General features: G+C 39.5%; 1 long non-coding RNA gene and 1 other non-coding gene across 2 annotated transcripts; one reads left to right on the forward strand and one right to left on the reverse strand.

The window, feature by feature from the left end:
• The first annotated feature begins 1,309 nt into the window (after positions 1–1,309).
• LOC105371989 (uncharacterized) lies at positions 1,310–18,378 on the forward strand. The gene is made up of 3 exons (XR_001753348.1): positions 1,310–1,571; positions 5,075–5,201; positions 17,303–18,378. It is a non-coding gene; the product is annotated as an uncharacterized LOC105371989 (long non-coding RNA).
• LOC124904370 (small nucleolar RNA U13) lies at positions 7,131–7,233 on the reverse strand. The gene has a single exon (XR_007066488.1). It is a non-coding gene; the product is annotated as a small nucleolar RNA U13 (small nucleolar RNA).
• Positions 18,379–20,894: the final 2,516 nt, after the last annotated feature.

Below are 20,894 nucleotides of genomic sequence, written 5' to 3' on the forward strand. Positions count from 1 at the left end.
TCATCCCTTGGTGGACCCATAGGTTGTGCTTTCATATCTTGGCTGTTGTGAGTAATGCAGCAGTGAACATGGAAGTGCAGATTCCTTTACAAGGTCGTGATTTCATCTCTTTTGAGTACATACCTAGAAGACGAGTGGGTGGGTCATATGGTAGTTGTATTTTTAATTTTCTTAGAACTTCCATATGCTTTCACAGTGGCTGCACAAATCTACATCCCCACCAAACATGAACAAGGGTTCCCTTTTCTTCACATGCTTGCCAATACTCATCTATTGTCTTTTTGGTAAAAGCCATCCTAACAGGTGTGAGGCAAGATGTCCTTGTGGTGGTTTTGATGTGCCTTTCCCTGATAATGAGTGATGCTGAGCACCTTTCCACATAGCCACTGGACATTTGTACATCTTCTTTAGAGAAATGCCCATTCCAGTCCTTCTCCCATACTTTAACGGGGTTATTTGTGTTTATACTTCTGAGTTGTTTGAGCTGCTTTTATTTTTTAGATATTAACCCCTCATCTGATACATGGTTTTCAAATAATTCCTCCTAATCCATTGGCTGCCTTTTCATTTTGTTGATTATTTCCTTTGCTGTGCAGAGACTTTTTGGTTTGATGCAACTTCACTTGTCTATTTTTGCTTTTGTTGCCTGTGCTTTGGGTGAGATATATATATTAAAAAAATGCTTGCCAAGGAAAATAGCAAGGGGCTTTCCCCCTGTGTTTCCTCCTAAGAGTTTTATGGTCTTAAGTTTTGATTTTTGTGTATGGTGTTAGATAAGGCGCCTTCATTCTTTTGCATGTGGATATTCATTTTTCCCAACACCATTTATTGAAGAGACTATCCTTCCCCATTGTGTCTTCTTGGTAGCCTTGTTGAAAATTAGGTAACCATATATGCATGAGTTTATTTTTGGGCTCTCTATTCTGTTTCATTGGTCTATGTGCCATTTTTATAACAGTACCATACTGTTTGTTTATTCTTGCTTTACAATATAATTTGAAACTGGGCAATGTGATGCTTCCAACTTTGTTTTACTTTCTCAACATTTTTTATTTTTTGGCAACTAAGGGTCTTTTCTGGTTCCATACAAATTTTAGAATTGTTTTTTCTATTTCAGTGAAAATACCGTTGGAATTTTGATAGGGATGGCATTTAATCTGTATATTGCCTTGGGTACTGTGGACATTTTAATAACATTTATTATTTTAATCCACAAACATGGATATCTTGAAGCTGATGGAGCTTCAGTTTCGCAATTCCTCACTTCCATGAGCTCCTTTCAAAGCCCGAAGAAGAGTCCTAGCAATTTTGTATTCATAATTTTGCATTCTTTTCCTTTGAAGGTCCCCAACGCTTGGAGTGTAACTTGAGTGGAGTACCTGTTTTCCTTTACTTCTCCCACCTAGACCTGAGTGCTTCTGGCCCTGAAACATGTGCAAATTCATCACATGCTGGAGAGCTACGATGCACCTTCTCTGCCCCAGCTAGACCTCCTATTTGCATGGTGGTTTTTAGTTTCAAAGCTCTTTCAATAGTATTGCCTCATTTAATCCTCCTACTAATTCTTCAAGGTAGGTTTAACAGATGTAAGAATCACAGAATATTAGAAGAGGACAAATGGTTTCATATTTAAATGTTGGGGTTTGGAATAATTCAGACAACTACAGGTGCCTCATCTTGCTGGACCTCCCTCCCATTTCTGCACCTTCCTATTTTCATAAATAAAATAGAGATACTAGTAGCACCTTCCCCAGGATCTGTGTAGATTAACTGAGATATGGCACAGAGAGGTATAGACAATTTCTAGGCCACCCAGCTATTGAATGGCAGGTGCCCTGCAGCAGGCTCATGCCCTTTCCACAGCCCACGCACTCTCTTATGTCCTGCCCACTTCTTTCAGTGATGAGAAAGTGAAGATATGGGAGGAGTAAGTGACTTGCTTTGGGTCACAGAGCAAGCACATGACATAATACCCCAATATCACATGCACAAGAAGGACTGCTGGGTGGTGTCGGCAATCCAGCTCTCAAGTCAGCTCTGGGTTCCCATCACAGCTCATCCTTTCTTGTAAGAATTGTAACCCTGGGTGTGTTCCCTTACCCTCTCCACCCCACCTTCCTTACCTATAAAACAGGGTCAACAAAAAATGCTTACTTCAAAGTTTTGATGGGAGTATTGAATGAGTGACTGTGCATAGGACCATCACAGTAGTGCCCGGCACAGAGAAGCCCCCGGCCAGTGTGAGCCGTTGTTATCATTAGTCAGAGTTCACCTGTGCTAGGAGCCCACTGTCTGCTGGTTCTCTGTGATGGCCTTCACCCCCTGGGCATGATGAAGACCTGAGGTCTGCCTACTGGAGCCTTTGTCTGACCCTCTTTTTTGCGTTTTTGCTTTTTCATGGCATCCACTTCAGGATCTTCCAGAATCTTGTGGGGAGGGAAAACATAAAATATAATTACTAAAGGGAGGGAGGGAGCAATGAATCCTAATTAATTATACTTTAAAGAAAAATTTGTCCCCAAAATGGCCAGCAGTGCTGAAGTAGTGTCTGTGGTCATTACTAGGGGACTCAGCAGCTATCAGCCACTACCCTGCACCCTTGTATGGGGCCCAGCCTCACCTCTGATCTTGTCCTTGCTGACGTTAGTGAGCCCTGGGCGTGGGGTTTGCTAAGGTTCACTGTGACCCTAGGCTCAGGCCTCAGCCTCTGGTCATGAGGGCCTCGGGCTCTGTCCCACCCAGGCTGTCTCAGCACCCTCAGGGCCGCCTCCTGGCCCAAACCTAGGGTCCTGAGCAGGGGGTGAACTGTGGCCACATGGAACAAAGGCCACTAGGCTGGGAATGTTTGTCTGCATTGTTTCGGAGGCGTCTGCTATACTCCTTCTGGGGCATCAGGCATCAAAAGATTCCCTGGCTCCTCTCTTGAAAGCTAGCCATGTATCCCTTGCCTTCCATTAAATATACTCATAAATATAAATTAAATGAACCAGTCTTAATTTAAATGAACATGTTAGTACTGTTCATTTCAGTGTGAATACAGGTAATTAAATATTGCTAATGTTATTATTTAGGAGGGTGATTGTGCCTTTTTCTCTTATTTATTGGGTGTTTTTAAAACTTTTGCTTTAAATAAATGCAACCCTACTTTAATGTTTGGCAGAATATTAGTCACAGCCCTGTAAACAATTCCTACATATTTCTCTAAATGTGGGTAGTAAAGTGCACACCCCTCATCTTACTGAAGGTCTTCTCCAGACATTCTGCAGGTAACTGGAGACACAAATATGAACAGGCCCCATTCAGCCCTTCAGGCCCAGGCTATCTAGCAGGGGGTTCCTATTTCCCTCCTGCTGGGCCTGAAATCTCTGCAATAGGAATTGCTCATAGTTAGAGAGCAAAGGCCTCCCTTCTTTGCTCTCAAGAGAGCAGAACTACACAGGAGAGATGACTCTTTTATTTTGAAAAGCTTCCCAAACTGAGCCTGGCAAAAACAATCTAAAATGTTAGAAGAGGTCGAGTGTACGCAAAATTGCTTGGAAATAGGTCCTGTTCCCAGAGCAGCTTTTAAAAGGGTGGCGGGCGGGAGGGGAATAGGAAAGGGAAGGATGGATATAAAAGCAACCAGAACCCAGGAGCACTTGATCCCTGAGGAATGAGCTTGTAAGGAAAGCAACTCAACAAAAAGTCAGCACTACAATGCCGCTTGGACAAGGTTGCCACTTTTCCCAGAAACACTGTCTTTGGAAGACAAGGTTGATAGTAAAACACACAGGCCCTGCTTCCTTTACCTACCTCCCACACCCTGGAGGTTATATTACAACAATTGCATCTGTTTAGATTTGTTCTGTCTTTTCTCTGTCCCATCTGCGAGAGGTGGCACTCTTCTAGCTTCCTATGTTACGATTCTCTGCTATGTTTGGGCAAGTACTATGTTGTCTGGTTTTAAAAACGGAAAAACAAAGAGTTCAGTGACTGACTTAGAAACACACATATTAGTCATCAATGGATCTGAAACTATCCAGTCTCCTGACTGCCATTTAAATATTCTTTTCAAAAGCCAATCCTTAAAAACTCATCATTCTGCAGAAAAGGCTTTTTCCCTGTGTTGGGAATTCATAATCACCATTTTCTTGAAGAATCCAATAATTAGCCTCCTGTGTGATCTCTCTAGTTTCTCTACATTTTATCTAGTGTTGTCTGAAATGTAAGAATCTGAAACCCAAGTTGCAATCATCTTGTCCCCAGCAACTGTTTTACTCTCAAGTTCCTCATCAGATCAGGACCATTGTCCCATTTCATGGCATGGTTAAGAAGTCTAGCCAGCAGCTTTCAACCAGCAAATTCTTTCAAAGCAAGTCATAATTTGCTCCATTGCTAAACAATCAAAGGTCCAGATGCACTCTTTTGTTCTTATCAGCAGAACCATGGCATAAGCATCCCTCCAAGTAATTTCTAACATCTTTATCATCGAGGCTCTCCCCACACGATTTCCCCAGAAGGTTGTGCTGAGGTCCTCAGTCTTGGCCTGATGATCAGTCCTTAGGGCTCTGCACCACTGTGTCTTTATTCCAACACTCACTGAACAAGGTCATATACACGTTATCTCTCCTCCTTATTGTAAAAAAAAAATGCATAGAATCAAATTTAACTATTCCTTGGTGAACACCTGCCATCTGCCAAGCATCCTGTAGGTATTTTAAAACACATTGTCTCACCCACTCTGTATGCAGGCAAACTCAGCTTCTTTTCTAGATAAAAACCTTGAGCTCAGACTTGCCAGCTCCCTGTCTTCTCACTCCTTGCATCTCTCTAGTTCCTCCTGGAAGTTATCCAATCCTCTCCTCGGCCCCATCTGTCAGAGGTAGCAGGCTTCTAGCTCCTACATTGCGATTCTATGATATGTTCACGCAAGCACTATGTTGTCTAGTTTTAAAGGCAGAAAAAACAAAGAGTTCAATAGCTTATCCAAAAACACACATATTAGTCATCAATGGATATAGAGCCATCCACAGTCTTGACTCTCATTTAAGTATTCTTATCAAAAACTGATCCTTAATATTTCATCATTCTTCAGGAGGGCTGCAGGAACTTGGAGTACTACATGTAATAACATACTGGTCATCACTCTTGGCAAATATTGAAAGCTTCACTTGGTCCCTGACACCTAAAGGATAAAGAAGAGCTTGATGATCTGATGTGAGGTAAGGAAAGTGGAGATGGGTAGCCTATATTCACAGTTTTGCAAAAGATTTATTGCATTAGGAGCCCTGTGGGAAATCTTGCTGTTCAGAAGATGAGGCCACAGTTGTAGAACCTTAGACCCCTGGAGGTGTAAGTGGCCTCACAGATCACCACATCCAGCTTGAGTCCACCTGACAACATTTTTGCTCCTTAGAAAGGTCTTCTAGAAAGCAGAGCCAGAGTCAAGGATTAAAGTACTAGCCCTTAACTTGGCAGGTAAAAATCCAAAGGTGTGTACAAGGAAACAAGACAAGGGAATGAGAGGAGCCATGCGGTTGGGTGTGCTGGCTGCTGCTTCATGACAGCCATGAAGAAACTCAGCAGTGGCTTGGCAGGTGTGTCCACAGGGCACAGAGCATTTCTCTGAGAAGTTGCTGAAATTAATGACTTCTTTGGGGGTATTTCACAGATGAAAGAAAGCAAACATGTTTGTCTGCTAAGCTATCTCCCTTCTCCCAGTTCTTACTAGTCAAGGTTCACCATGAGGCAAGATATTTCCCTCACACTTCCCAGTAGCAACACTGGCTGTTTGGTGAAAGTCCAAGACACATGAGATCACGTTGATTCATATCTGGAAGAGGAGTGGTGGTTTGACACACGTGGGCTTGGCCTTTGGGCACATGAGCCTTGGAGCCCAGGGTGCAACTCAGACACCAATCTGCTCAGGGATCATGGCAGAAATGGCCCCAGGAAGTGGGAAATGTTTTTGGACAGCAGGAGGCAGTTATGGGACTCTCAGAAGGTGCACAAGATTTAGGTCCAAAACATCTACTAAGTGATCATTCAGCAACTAATGTACATCTCCAATATGGAGGAACTCATTGCTTCATCAAGAAACCTCTTTTTTTTTATTAAGCAAAAATCTATGATCCCTTAGAAATTTAGCCTCTTACTCTAGTTATGTCCTCCCAGAACCACGTAGAACAATTTTAACCCATCATCCACATGATGGTTCTTTTGTCTGTTTGGGACTTCAGGTGTCGAGCTTTGAGTTCTCGTGGTATTGTTGGCCTGTACAGGATCTCATTCCATGCTTCCATTCCTCCCTCCTCTGTATGCCACAATTATAAGGTGGTTTATGTGTATCTGATTATTTGTATGTCTTCTCATAAAAACTATGTTGTTTTGTGTGCATACACTTTTAATTTACCTGAAGGGATTGTGCTCATGGTATTTTTTTACTTTTTTCACTTAGTTATGTTTTTAATATATAGCCATGTTGCTGTCCTGTTCATCCAGGAATGAACACCTACTTTGCCTCTTATGCCTATGCAAACAACAGGTTTTAATGCTTGTTATTTTATAAGAATGTGTTAGAATTTTTCTAGAATACATACCCAGAAGTGGTATATAGTCTAGAAAATATATTTCTGGTGGAGTTTCGGGGTCATTGGGTATAAACATACTTAGATTGACTAAGTACTTCCGGATTAATCTCCAAAGTGGCTGCCCGTCTATATTTTCACCAACAGCCCATGAGATTCTTACATTCCTACATTTTCACCAATATTTTCATTTTCTCACTTTTTCAATTGACATTTCTCATTTAAGTGCAAAGAAATGTTATCATTCTAGTTTATGGTTTCCTAATCACTAATAATTTTGAATATCATTTTGTATGTTTGTCAGCCTTTTGGACTTTTCTTCCATGAATTACTTGTTACATATTTTTTGGTTGTGTCGTCTTTTACTTATTCTTGATAGATTCCTAGCTAGCAGAGATATTAGCCTCTTTTTTTAGTGTATTGATTGCAAATATCCTCTCTTATGTTTTTATATCTGCTTGTCTTGTCCATGGTATCCTTCATTGGACATGAATTTTTAATTTTAATGTAATCGTTGTGCCTTATGGTTTTCTGCTTTTAAGGTTATGTTATGTTTTTTTTCACCTTCAATGGGTAATATGTCAATGCTATAATAAGGCTTTAAGGAGGCACATTTCACACGTTAGTGTGAAAAACCAATCATCATGCTTATGATCCACAAAAGGATCTAAGGTTATGTTTAAAAATCCGTTCCTCCTCCAGAAGTTAATACTGCATTCTTCTACATTATTTGATTATTTTATAGTTAATATCTCCATTTCTTAGGTCTTTTGCCCATCTGCAACACCTCTTTCTAAATGATGTTGGGTAAGAATCTGGTTTTATTTTCCTCCATAAAGAAAGCCACCCAGGGATGTGTTGGAGCAGCTTGTGCCATGTGGCAAGAGCCAATTGTTAAATATTGAGGAATTTTGTAAGCTGGTTGCTAAATTGTTGGCAGTTTGAAATAGGCCGTGCTGGGAGTTTTTATACCATGGGAATTATCAATAAATCAAGTATTTTTTCCTTTAGGGGACTGGTTTACCACTACGCCATTGAAATGTCTACTGAATGTTCCTTTCTTTATTGATCTATACTGCTACTTTTATCATATATTAAGTTCCCATATACAAGGGATCTTGTCTGCGACTTTTTATGCCATTTCATTGGCCTGTTTGTCTATTCTTATCTGGTGCCATACTGTTTTTATTACTGTGTCTTTGAAGCTTATCTTAGTGGCTCATAGAGCAAGATCCCACTCTGTGCTCCTCTTTTTTAAAGTTGACTTAACCCTTCATAGACTATTACATAGTAGAATATTATGTCCTAAACCATTTTAGAATAAGTTTAACAAGTGCCTTACAAATATATCTGGCATTTGATTGATGTTTTGAAGCTATGAAACAATGTTGGGAGAGTTGATATTTTCAAAAAGTCCATCCAAGAACATGACTAACTCTCTATTTATTCAGATTCTGTTGTACAAAGTTGAATTAAATTTTAATATTTTTCCAAATTGCTTTTATTCATTATTTGCTAATTCCTGATGCTTTACAGATATTGTCACAATTCTGAATGGCATTTTTTTAAGAATATTTTCCAGTTGATTGCTGTTAATGCTATTAATTTTTGAATTATGAATAAATTTTTGAAACATGCTAATTTTTTGAAATTTGACCTTGCCAAAAACTCTTATTATTTCAGTTGGGTTTTGTTGAATTTTCTATGATCATAGTGTTTTAAAATATGATAGGTTTATTTCTTCGTTTTCTATCTTCACACTGCATTTTCCTTTCTTGATAATGATGGACAGCATTTATACCACCACATTTTGCTGTAGCAGTGCTGATAAGCATTCAACAGAGCTTGGCCCAGAAATGATCTGATATTGGAACTATCATAAGGATGTTAAATATTTTAATAAATAAATATGTAAGTACAGATGTTAAATATGCTAAAAAACTATAGTACAACAAGTAGACAATAATGCTTGAACAGATGGTGGATGTCAGCAGAGAGATATAAACTATAACCAGAGTCAAATGAAAATGTTAGAAGTGAAAAACATAGTATCAGAGATGAAGAACTCTTTCAATGAGTTTATCAGCAAACTGGACATATCAAAATAAAACATCCGTGAACCTAAAGATAAGTAAATAGAAATTAAGCAAAGTGAAACACAAAGAAAGAACAAAGAGAAAAAATACAGCAAGGGATATAAGGCTATGGGACAACATAAAATACCTAAAATTGGAGAAGGTGGAGAGGAGAATAGGCAGAAGAAATATTTAAAAAGACTGGCTGATAATTATTTTTTAGTTAATGAGAGTCAACTAATTACAGATTGAAGAAGCTCAAGAAAACTGAAGCAGGATTAAAAAAATATATACTTGTCTACATCATAATGAAACTATAGAAAACCAAAAATGAAAGAGAAAATCTTGAAGAGAGCCAGAAAGTTTCAAAAGGAACAACTTACACACAGAGAAAAAATATATAAGAATTATGGACAACTTCTCATCAGAAGTTAACTAAGCCTAAAGAAAATGGAGAGACATCTTTAAAGTACTAAAATAAGCATCAGTCAACCAAGAATTCTATATCCAGTGAAAATGTCTTAGAAAAATGAAGGCAGAATGAAGAGATTTTAGACAAACAAAAGCTGAGAGAATTTACTGCCAAAAATATTGAGGACATTTTTTTTTAGAAAGAAAGAGTAAGATAGCAGATGGAGGCTAGGCGCGGTGGCTCACAACTGTAATCCCAGCATTTTCGGAAGATGAGATGGGTGGATCACTTGAGGTCAGGAGTTCAAGAACAGCCTGGCCAACATGGGGAAACCCCGTCTCTACTAAAAATACAAAAATTAGCCAAGAGTGCTGGGGCACGCCTGTAGTCCCAGCTACCGGGCAGGAGAATTGCTTGAATCCAGGAGGCGGAGGTTTCAGTGAACCGAGATTATGCCGTTGCACCTCAGTCTGTGTGACAGTGGAGACTCTGTTTAAAAAAAAAAAAATGACAGCAGATGGCAATTTAGATGTATACAAAGAAAAAAGTGTGCTAGAACAAATAAAAATACAGTTAAATAAAGTAGAAACTTTTCTTATCTTTAAAAGAGAACCGAACAACAAAACACACTAACAGTGTGTTGGGGGGCTTATAACATACATAGAAAAGAAATGACAGTAATAGCATGAAGTAATACAATATTATTTGCATGTATATATGTGTGTGTGTGGGGGTGTGTGTGTGTGTGTGTGTGTATTAGCCAGGATACAAATGAAAATCACTCATCATATCATGAACCAGGAAAATATCAACTTGAATGAAAAAAGACAATTAAAATATACCGACACTGAGATGACAGAGATGTTGAAATTATCTAACAAGGATTTTATAGAAGCCATTATAAAAACACTTTGACAGAAAATTATGAACATGTTTTAAACAAATAAAAAATACAAAGTCTCTACAAAGAAATAGAAAAAAATACGAAGAAATGAAGAAGAAACACGCACAAATTTTAGTACTGAAATATATGATAACTGAGTTCAGCAGAAGAATGGAGAAGACAGAAGAAAGAACCAGATGAATCAAAGATAAAACAATTCAAACTACCCAATTCTAACAATAGAGAAAAAAACTTTTGTTTCAAAAAAACAAAATAAACAGAGCCTCAGAGATTTGTGGTACTATAACAAAAGATCTAATATTGATTTAATGAAAGTCTGGGAAGAAGAGAGGAAAGAGAATGAGGCTGAAAATGTGTTCAAACAAGTAATGACTAAACATTTTCCAAATTCAGCAAGAGACATAAACCTAAAGATTTAAGAAGCTGAGTGAATCCCAAACAATAAAAACCCAAAGCAATAGTTTCCAAGACACAATGTAATCAAACTTGTGAAAACTAAATGCAAACAAAAAAATCTTTAAAGCAGCAAGAGGAAAAAAAAAACATAATTTAAATGACAGATTTCTCATCAGAAACAATGGAAGCCAGAAGGACATGACACAAATTTTTCCAGTGATAAAAGAAAAGAAACTGAAGTCCTATATTCAGCCAAAATAGCCTTTAGAAATGAACTTATTAAAAAAAATTAACTCACTCTCAGATATAGTAAAACGAAGAGAATTTGTCACCAGCAGACCTATCCTAAAAGAATGGCTAATAGAAGTTCTTGAAACTGAAAGGAAATCAAAAGCAGAATCTTGGTAACATTAGGAAGGATAAAAGAACATGGAAAAAGCAAAAAATTACTTGTAAATGGATTTTTTTCTATTTTTAAGTTTTGTAAGTTATGTTTGACTTTGAAGTCAAAATTACAACGCAAAAATTTTCTGGTATGGTTCCAAATGTACGCAGAGGAAATACTTAGTAAATTATATTACAAATGGAGGAGGGCAAAGGGACTTAAAAGGAAGTAAGGTTTTTACAGTTCACTCAAATTGGTAAAATGTCAACACCAATAGTCTTTGATGAATTATATATGTACAATATCATACTTGGAGGAATTATTAAAAATACACACACATAGTTATAGTCAAAATACTACAAATATATAAAGATGGAATTCTAAAAAATTAAGTAACCCACAGGTGAGCAAGAACAAGAAAAAAAGAGAAATAAAAAAACAGAAAAAACACAAAGAAAATTAAAAGGCAGACTTACACTTGAGCATATGAGTAATTACAATAAATGTAAATGATCTGAATTTACCAATTATAAGACAGAGATTGGCAGAGTGGATTTAAACTATGTCCCAACTATCTACTGTCTGAACTCTCTTTTATTAATAGCAATATAAGTAGGTTAAAAATGAAAGTTTGAAAAAAGATGTACCATGGAAACATTAATTAAAAGAAAACAGAAATTCTTTTCAGGAATTCTTTTTATAAATCAGAGAAAGTATGCTTCAGAGTATAGAAAATCACCAGGTACAGAAAAGGACATTATATAATGACAGAAGGTCGATCCACCAAGAAAACATAGCAATCCTAAACATTTATGCATCAAGCAACAGAGCTGCAACATACTGAAATGAGAAAAGTTCCCTTGTCCCCCTTGCAGGGTGTGTGATGGGGGTGTGGCTCACTTCTTCCGTGCCCTGCTGCTCAAACCCCTAAGGGGAGCATGCAGATGGGCAGGCTGTGGGGTTCTGACCCCACAGCAGTGCCTAGGGGTGAATGTTTACAGTTCCTGAAGCCCCAGTAGGCGTGTGTTACAGGGTGCTCTTTTAGTTTAGCCATCTGTAGGCAGCTTGTGTTAGTCAGCTCAATTAGACCCTCTGCCTTATCACAAGGACAGATGGCTTTCTGTATCCCAGGGTTTCTTGCCTTGGTGTACCAAAAGAATCAGAGGACACGTGGGACTGGAGAATGAATGCAAGGTTTTATTGAGTGGAAGTAGCTCTCAGCAGATGGGGGAGACAGAAGGGAGATGGAGTGGGAAGGTGGTTTTTGGCTGGAGTCAGGCCGGCTCTCCTCCAACCACCCCGCCAAACTCCATGTTGTTCTGCCAGTCAATGGCCTGCCAGTGTCTGTCTGTGTGCTCTTCTGCCAGCGTGCTCCTTTGGACGTCTTCTTGATGTCCAGCCACTTGTGTGTTCTTCTGCAAATATGTTCCTCTCAACGCCAGCTGTTTGTGTCCCGTCCTGCTAGGGTCTTAGGGTCTTTATAGGCACAGGATGAGGGCATGGCAGGCCAGAGTGGTCTTGGGAAATGCAACATTTAGGCAGGAAAACGGAAATGCCTGTCCTCACCTAGGTCCATGGGCACAGGCTTGGGGGTGGAGCCCTCACCTGGGAGCATGCCCTTCCCTTCTCAGCACTTCTCTGCCCCCTTCTGTATCAATATGTGAAGCAAAAACTGATAGAACCAAAAAAAGAAATAGGTAAATCTATTATTGTAGTCGGAGGCTTCAACACCTCTCTCTCATCAACTGCTAGAACATCTAGACAGAAAATCAGAAAATATGTAGAACAACTCAGTAGTTTATAGAACACTTCACTCAGTAACAGTAGAATATACATTCTTTTCAAATGCTCACAAAGCATTTACTATGCGCTGTGATTGGAATGTGTTCCCCAAAGTCCATGTGTGATAAACTTAATCTCCAATGCAGTAGTGTTGGGGGTGGGGCCTAATGGGAGTTACTTGGGTTATGAGGGCACCATTATCGTGATTGGATTAATGCTATTATCATGGGAGTGGGTTTTTTATAAAAGGGTTAGTTTGGCCCCTTTTTGTCTCTCTCTCTCACTGTTTCCTTGCCCTTCTGCCATGTGATGATTTCTCCCGTGTTAAGATGCAGCAAGAAGGCTCTTACCACATGCCAGCCCCTCAATCTTGAACTTTCCAGCATCCAGAACTGTTAGCCAATACATTTCTGTTTATTATATATTACCCAGTCTGCCATATTTTGTTATAGCAACACAAAATGAACCAAGACAGCAAGATAGATCATATACTGGGCCATAAAATAAATCTTAACAAATACAATAGAACTGAAATAATACAGACTGTCTTCTCTGACCACAATGGAATCAAACTAGAAATAAATGACAGAAAAAATAACAGACATACCTTCAAGCACTTAGAGACTAAATAACACATTTCTAAATAATCTATGGGTTAAAGAGGAAGTATCAAGGAAAAAAATTCAAATAATATGTTGAGCTGAAAGAAAATGAAAATACAACATAAGAAAATTTGTGGGACACAGCTGGAGCAATGCTGAGGAGGAAATTTATGGCACTAAATGTTTATGTTAGAAGAGAACAATTCACCGGTAGTTCTGGGAAAATCTTCAAAAACTGAGAACTAGTTACTATTTCAAGCTCGTGCATTTCTAATTCTTTCAAGTTCCACACGTTCAAGAAATATTATTATATCAAATGAACCTGCTCAAACATTTCTTTGCTTGAATTTAGAAAAATTTTTTCTCTTTGTTTTTATCAAAGCTTAACAAGCGGTAGGTTGGTTTTACCAGAATGTTTTGGATCCTAAGCAAACAAAGATGGAAAGAATGACTATGATTTGATGTTCATTTGGGGGTTTGTTTGGACATTTAATGAGTTATCAGCTCAGAGTATCATATCCACAGCTGAACCTTGCCATTGATAAGAATCTGAAAGTGATCAATTCAAGAACTCACCACAGTAACAGAATGAGCATGAATCAAGAGCAAGACATCTTTATTGTAACACCTCTATCCTGTCTGAGGGATGACAGTTTCAAGGATATTCCCAACCTCATAGACCAGAGATTCTCAGTATGGTTGGATATTTTTTTTTCACTTCCCATCTAAACTTGGAAAAAAAGAATGAGAAATCTCAATCAAGATGCTGGTCATAACAAAGTATTAGTCCAGCTAACAGGGCAATAAAGAATATCTGACTTTTGGCCAGGTGCAGTGGCTCACGCCTGTAATCCCAGCACTTTGGGAGGGTGAGGCAGGCGGATCACCTGGTCAGGAGATTGAGACCATCCTGGCTAACAAGGTGAAAGCCCATCTCTACTAAAAATACAAAAATTAGTTGGGCGTGGTGGTGGGCACCTGCAGTCCCAGCTACTCGGGAGGCTGAGGCAGGAGAATGGAATGAACCCTGGAGGCGGAGCTTGCAGTGAGCGGCGATTGAACCACTGCACTGCAGCCTGGGCGACAGAGCGAAACTCCTTCTCAAAAAAAAAAAAAAAAAAAAAAAAATCTGACTTTTGGGTATATTTTGCAGTTGGTTTAGAAATTAGTGTTTATCCACAGCCTCTTATTTTTCAGGAATGCTGTCTAAAATATAGCAGTCTTTCAGTAAATGGATGTGTCATTACTGCTGTGGTTAGTGTTATTATTAAAGATGACTGGCATGTGGAATTAAAACCCCTGGCCATAGAGCGAGGCCAACTGGATGAGGAAAGAGAGGCGGGGAAGGGGAAACTTGCCCAGGATCACACATGAGTTAGGTTCTCAGGATAATGACAAAAATGGGACTAGAATGGTCGCTTCGAGGATGAAATGAAAACAAGCTCAGGAAGACACCTTTCAAGAACTTTAACTTCATACAAATGTAATAAATAAAAGTAAGAAGTTGTTTCAAATAAAAGCCTGATAAATGAAAAACAGATATACAATTGCAGAAATAAGTACAAATATATCCAGTAGTCAAATTAACTATAAAATAATTTAGCTCACGTTAAAAAAAATAGAGGTTAAATTTTAAAATTCAGCTATGTGCTGATTATATGAATGAAAATAAATCAATTTTGAAAATATAATATTGAGTTTTAAGAAATGAAGTGGTTTTTCCTGGATGACACTATTTTTATATAATCTAAAAACACAGAGAGTGGTCCTACGTATAGTTTATGGATACATAACATACAACGTAAAAAAATTAACTAGAAGGACACTCACCAAATTCATGACACTGGTTCTGTAAGGAGGTGAGCAAGTTTGCACTTGGGTGTCAAAGATGGATGCAGCTTTGTCTTCTACATATTCCATTTTAATAAAACTCAGAACAAAAAAATGACTACATGTTAACTTTTTCTGTATTTTATTGTATCTGGGTGTTTGCATATGCTTTTGCTTTAAAAAATCAAATAAAGGAGAAAGATCTTTGGAATGAAAGCAGACAGCACCGATGCATTCACTGCCAGGGGAAAGCAGGTGCAAGGCTCCATGGGAACGATGACCTTAGTAGATTCTCATCTGAAAATGGGCATAACTTTGCACTTTTATTGCTCTGGACATTAATAAAACAGTGTACATGTACAAAAGTGTACTGTGCTTGAATGGGAATTAAACGTATGCAAGAAAAATGCAGGGACAGTGTTCCTGTCTGGCTTAAACTTTGGTACTATGTGTAACACACACTACAATAGGGGTGGTGTGTTTCCTACAACAGGAACTAGTGGCTACTATGGAATTCTGAGAAACTCAGCAAGATTGTATTGGCATCTGAAAAAAGAGCATTATCAATAGTTTTGGGGTTACATGAGGATGGAGTGACATGTTTTCAGTCTGCATTCTATAAGTAACACATGTTTAGGTTACGATATTGACTATGATTGCTAAGCTTTAAGGAATACACTACGATGGCCCAGTCCTGTCCCTGATTTCATTGATTTCCTTTTCTTCTGATAACTTGAGGTTATGGCCTTGAAGAAATTTATAAGGCACAGGAAGAGTGGTATTTGTTTGCCTGGTACAGAGTACCTAACATTAACAAGGGGAAAAAGTTTTTCATTCAATTGTTTAAATTAAATGATTGGGCAAGCCGCTGGATTTCCGTGTTCCTAAGAAAATGCAGTTGGAAAGTCATATGTAAATGAGAACTCACTGAAAACTGCTTCTTGCATCTAAGCCAACATTTCCTGGTTGAATGGCTCTTAAGAATCACATTAAAGCCTATTCATTATTTTAATATTGAAGGCCAACTTCTCACAAACTCATCCACCCAGGGAGTCCTCACCATCAGCTGTGAAAGGCACAGGACTTGGAGCTCTGAGAATTGCTGAGAATTGATGTAATGATCTCTGGCAAAGCACAAGTGTGGAGCCCATCTGTCTCCTTAGGGCGAGAAAGGGTAATAAAGAATGCTAAGTAAAGGAAAACCCTGGGACAGAGAAGTCACTGAGCAGCAGCTCTCTGCAATGTGGGTCTTGACACGGACACACACACACACACACACACACACCTGTCCACACACATCAGGTTGTTCAAATGTGGGTGGTTGTTCAAATGGTCTTGTGTGTCTCTGCTGGCACATTTCTTCTTATGATTTCTTTTTATAAACTTCAACAATAAAATTGACTTCTATGATCTTAGACCCTTAGTAAATGAAACCTGTTCATTTTCACTAGTAGATTTAAATGTCACAAAGCTGGTATTTTACATGAAAAAGGTCAAGCTTATAAAATACTTCTACATGAAATCCCCTGAAACAGAGACCATAGGATTTTCCCCCCTTTTGTCAGAGGCACAACAGACAAATACGTGGGTTCAAAAATATTAAAGGACTGCCTATCCTCCCCCGCTTCCTGTTCATAGAATGAAATCAGAATACTTTTATCGACTTGGGCTATTCAAGAATCATGTAACATAGAAATATTTTTAAAATTATTTAATTCAAAAGCAAGTTATATGTAGGTTTAAAATACAATCATACCCTGTATAATGATGTTTTTGGTCAATAACTGACCACATATATGACAGTGGTCCCATAAGATTATATTGCCATATTTTTACTGTACCTGTTCTACGTTTAGATACACAAATACTTACCATTGTGTTAGAACTGCTTATAGTATCCAATACAGTCACATGCTGCACAGGTTTGTAGCCTAGGAGCAATAGGCCGTATAATATAGCCTGGGTGTGTCGGCTCTACCATCTAGGTTTATGTAAGTACATGCTGTGATGTTTGCACAATGACAAAAATCACCTAATAATGCATTTCTCAAAACGTATCCCCATGGTTACGTGAGGCATGACTGTCTATTAAGAGACACCCATTTCTTTTCTTGGTGACATGCTGTAAATATCTATGAAAATAGGAAATATTGATGAATTTTGGACCTTACTACCTCAAGGAAGAATGACCAGGAAATGAAAATCTTGAGATTTGAAAACCCGTCATTTTTCTAGGCTTCAGTTTGCCTAATTTCTCTCTCATTTTCTCTTCTTTCCTTTTTCTACTAATCTTGTGAATCCATTTTGGGAAGAAGTGGGCCCTAGAGTCACCCTCTCTGCCCTCTAACAGGACCCGGCTTGGGGATGACGGCAGATCCTATCTCCCTTCTCTCCAGTCTCAATTCTAGCAAGCAGCATCTTTCAGCTTATGTTGGGGAGTGAAGCAGGATCTGTGACCTAGGACCGAAGCTGGCGCCTGGCGGGACGACTCAGACACCAGACTTTGGACCACAATACCATCAACTATTAGTGTCTGTCTCTCCAGGATCCCTAGCAACTAATGTTATTTTTAGTGACTGACTCTTTAATATGTACTGCTTGTGAATATGAATTTAAATGTTATGTCCAGGGCACACAGCAGTGCACACAGCACTAGCAGTTGGGGCAATTGAGGTATTAATTTTCTACTCGGTAACTCGCATCGTCATCCACAACCTGCAGAGCAAAGCCCAAACTCTGTACCGCAGCACTCAAGACCCTCTATTAGCTGACTCCATCCTAACTGCCTAGTGCCATGTTCCAGTCACAGGACCTGGGGTCCTGTCATACAGACATGTTCCATTTCCAAATAAGCCATGCAGAGCTCTGCATCTGTGCTGAGCTGCTCCTTCGGCCGAGAAGGTCGTTTCTGTCTTCTGTGGCTGAAACTCATGCTCCCTCAGGGTCCACAGCTGTGTACTAAGTGCTGGTGCTGGCACAGTGATGCACGTCCTTCTCACATCAAACTCGGACAGGGCTAGGGTGTGGCCTCAGAACAGCCCACTTCTCCTTAGCAGCACATTATCTGTCATCTACTTATGAGTTCAAAAGTGGAGATGACAGAAACAAGGAAATAAAAGTGCATCTTCAACATAAGAGGAAGTGCACAGTCTCACTCATAATAAGAAAAATGCTAAGTAAAAATTCCAGCAAGATACAGTTTCTAATCCAGCAGTTTGGCGGAAAGAAGAGAAGTTGGATGAAACAACTATGGTCAGGCTGTCAGAAAAAGGGCATTTTCGTGTAGAATTGGAAGGTTTGTAAATGTGTAAAACCACTGAGGATGACTATCTCGAAATACCTAGTAAATTATAAATACACCCTATCCTTTGACCCAGAAATTCCACTTCTAAGAATATATCCTACATATAGCAGTACACATGGGAAATAATATATGTTCAAAATGATCTAATGAGACCTCATTGTAACTGCAAAAGAATGTAAACGACCCATATCCATTTGTAGGGATTGATTGAATATATCATAGTGCAGTCACACAATGCAACTACAAAAAGAACAAGGCTTCCGTATGGACCGATGAGGAAATCTCTAAGATTTATTGTGATGCTAGCTATGGACAGTGCAGGCAATATTCAAGTGGGGGAAATAGATATCTGTATTTGCTTTTACAAGCACAAAGAAAATCTCTGAGAGGATATACAAGAAACCAATAATTATGGTGACTTGTTAATTGTGTTCTAATTTGGAGATGAAGGAATCTGAGTAGATGGAGAATGTGGTAGGAGGAAGATCTTGATCATAATTTTTTACATTTTCTGATTTGTAACCTTGTTAATGTGTTACCTGGTCAAAATGTTTAGACTATTAAAGTGGACTTGTCATTTCCTGGGCTAACTCCAAGCATTGGGACTAGCTGCTTAAGTTGCTGCGCTGAGAATTCTGAGCCTTCCCCTGGCTCATTGGGAAGTTGTCATGATTAATTATCTGCACGGGGGTGCGGGGGGTGAGTCAGAGGAGAGGAGCGGGGAGGAGAAAGGGGAAGGGGAGGGGAAGGAAGGAGACCTCAGCTTTGCCTTTGTGGTACCGGCTTCTTCTAGGCTGAAACAGCTCTTGGAATAAGTAAGATAAGTTTATTACCATCTGTTTTTCCTTTTATTTTGACAAAAATGACTTATTTCTTGGGACACAATGATATTACTTAATGGTAGTGTTCTGTGATTTGAGAAACAAGTACACCTCAATCCATTCCATTCAAAACGTAATGAAAAGACCCACAGAACTGAAGGAGGAAGGTTGGAATAATTCTGCCACCACTGTGGGGAGCTTCTGTCATGTTGGAAGTCACTGAAACCATTTTTATATCCTTTTATGAAAAATGGAGTCAGCTGTATCTATCTTGCTCTTTCCCCCAGGATGCCGTCAGATTCAATGAAGACAATACACGGGCTTTGTTCCTGTAGAAAAGGACATGACAGTCAGCTGGAATAATGCCGCTGTCCCTGCTGTTCCCTACCAGGCAGCAGCAGCCTAGGTGCTCTCTGCGGTCCCGCAAAATGTGGCAGTCAGAGCCATGTGGGGTGCCAGAGGCAGGCACTGTTCAAATGGAGGGTGGTAGTCCTATCTTTGTGCTCTTCCTGGTAATGGTCAGCTTTCAGTGGGTCCTCCAGATGACAGCAGAAGCATAGGCTGATGACTTGAGTGCACAAATTATATAATAGTTCCTGGGGTTGTTCTTGCAGTGAAACTAGGGCAGGGGGGCTCAGAGCCCACCCATGGTTTTATAAGAAGAATCTCTTCCCCCAAGGATGTTACAGTAGAGTTTGCACACAAAGACTCATCTGCCATGTTGCTCTGGGTCCTCCGTGGTGGCCCTTAGATCACAGCCTTGGTCTTTTTGGCAGACACCTATTCTTTTACTTTTCTTTTAAGTTCAGAGGTACATGTGCAGGTTTGTTATATAGGTAAACTTGTGTTTTTAAATTTTTATTATCTTTTTTTTAGCAAACATTTATTCTTAAGGCAGGCAGCAGACACTTTACATCCTGTAAAAATAAACTTAACGCACATGATCAAGCCCACAAGTGTGTTTCTGCTTTGTTGGTGCTAGTTCTCCAACCCCAGGGAGATGGCCTCGGAGACTTCTAGGTTAGCAAAGCACATTTAGCAAAGCACGTAGAGGGGGCATCCTCGTGTCCTGCTCACTAAAGGACATACGCATTAAAGCAAATGTGTCTCCAAATAAGTTCAAGACTTTCTGAATGTCTCTGTTGTGCAAGTACCATTGGTAAGATTTAACGCCACCCTGACATAGGAAACTGCACTCTTGCCCATACAAAGGAACCTAGGGACAGCTGGCTGCTAGCCAAAAAAGTAGTTAGCAAGAATGGACACTTGGTGTTAGAATACGTCTGAGAAACACTATAATTTATTATTATTGTTTCTACTTGTACTTTGATACGTTGGCTTCCTCAGAGTACAATCCCCTTGAGTTGAAAGAAACAAAACTGGCCAGAAGTGAACTGGTGGGAAAAATTAATCCCTGTCACCGTCTTCAAAGGGACCAGTGTTCCTGGAGAGAAGGACTCTCTGGCCCCACCTGGAGCCCTCTGCAGGGCATCCTTCCTGCCTCCAAGCCCAGTTCAACCCTCTGTCACCTCTGCACCATGGGCCTGAGGCACCACTGAGGGCAGCCCTCACCATTCCTTGGTGGATCCCGAGGGAAGGTTATTCTGTAGCATAGATTGTGAAAAGGCCTGGCTGAAGCTTTACAGTGATATTTGCATCTTGAGAAAGTTTTGCCATCATGAGAGTAGAAAAAAAATTCCTTCACTCTGGCATTCTGTCTCCCTCTGAGGTGGGGTCACTAGATGCACAATTTTGATTTTCAGATTAAAAGGCCCTGATGCTTTTGTGGCTGGCTGGGTAATCCTCGGCCACACAGA

Source organism: Homo sapiens, chromosome 18 (assembly GCF_000001405.40).
Source record: "Homo sapiens chromosome 18, GRCh38.p14 Primary Assembly".
Taxonomy (NCBI): domain Eukaryota; kingdom Metazoa; phylum Chordata; class Mammalia; order Primates; family Hominidae; genus Homo; species Homo sapiens.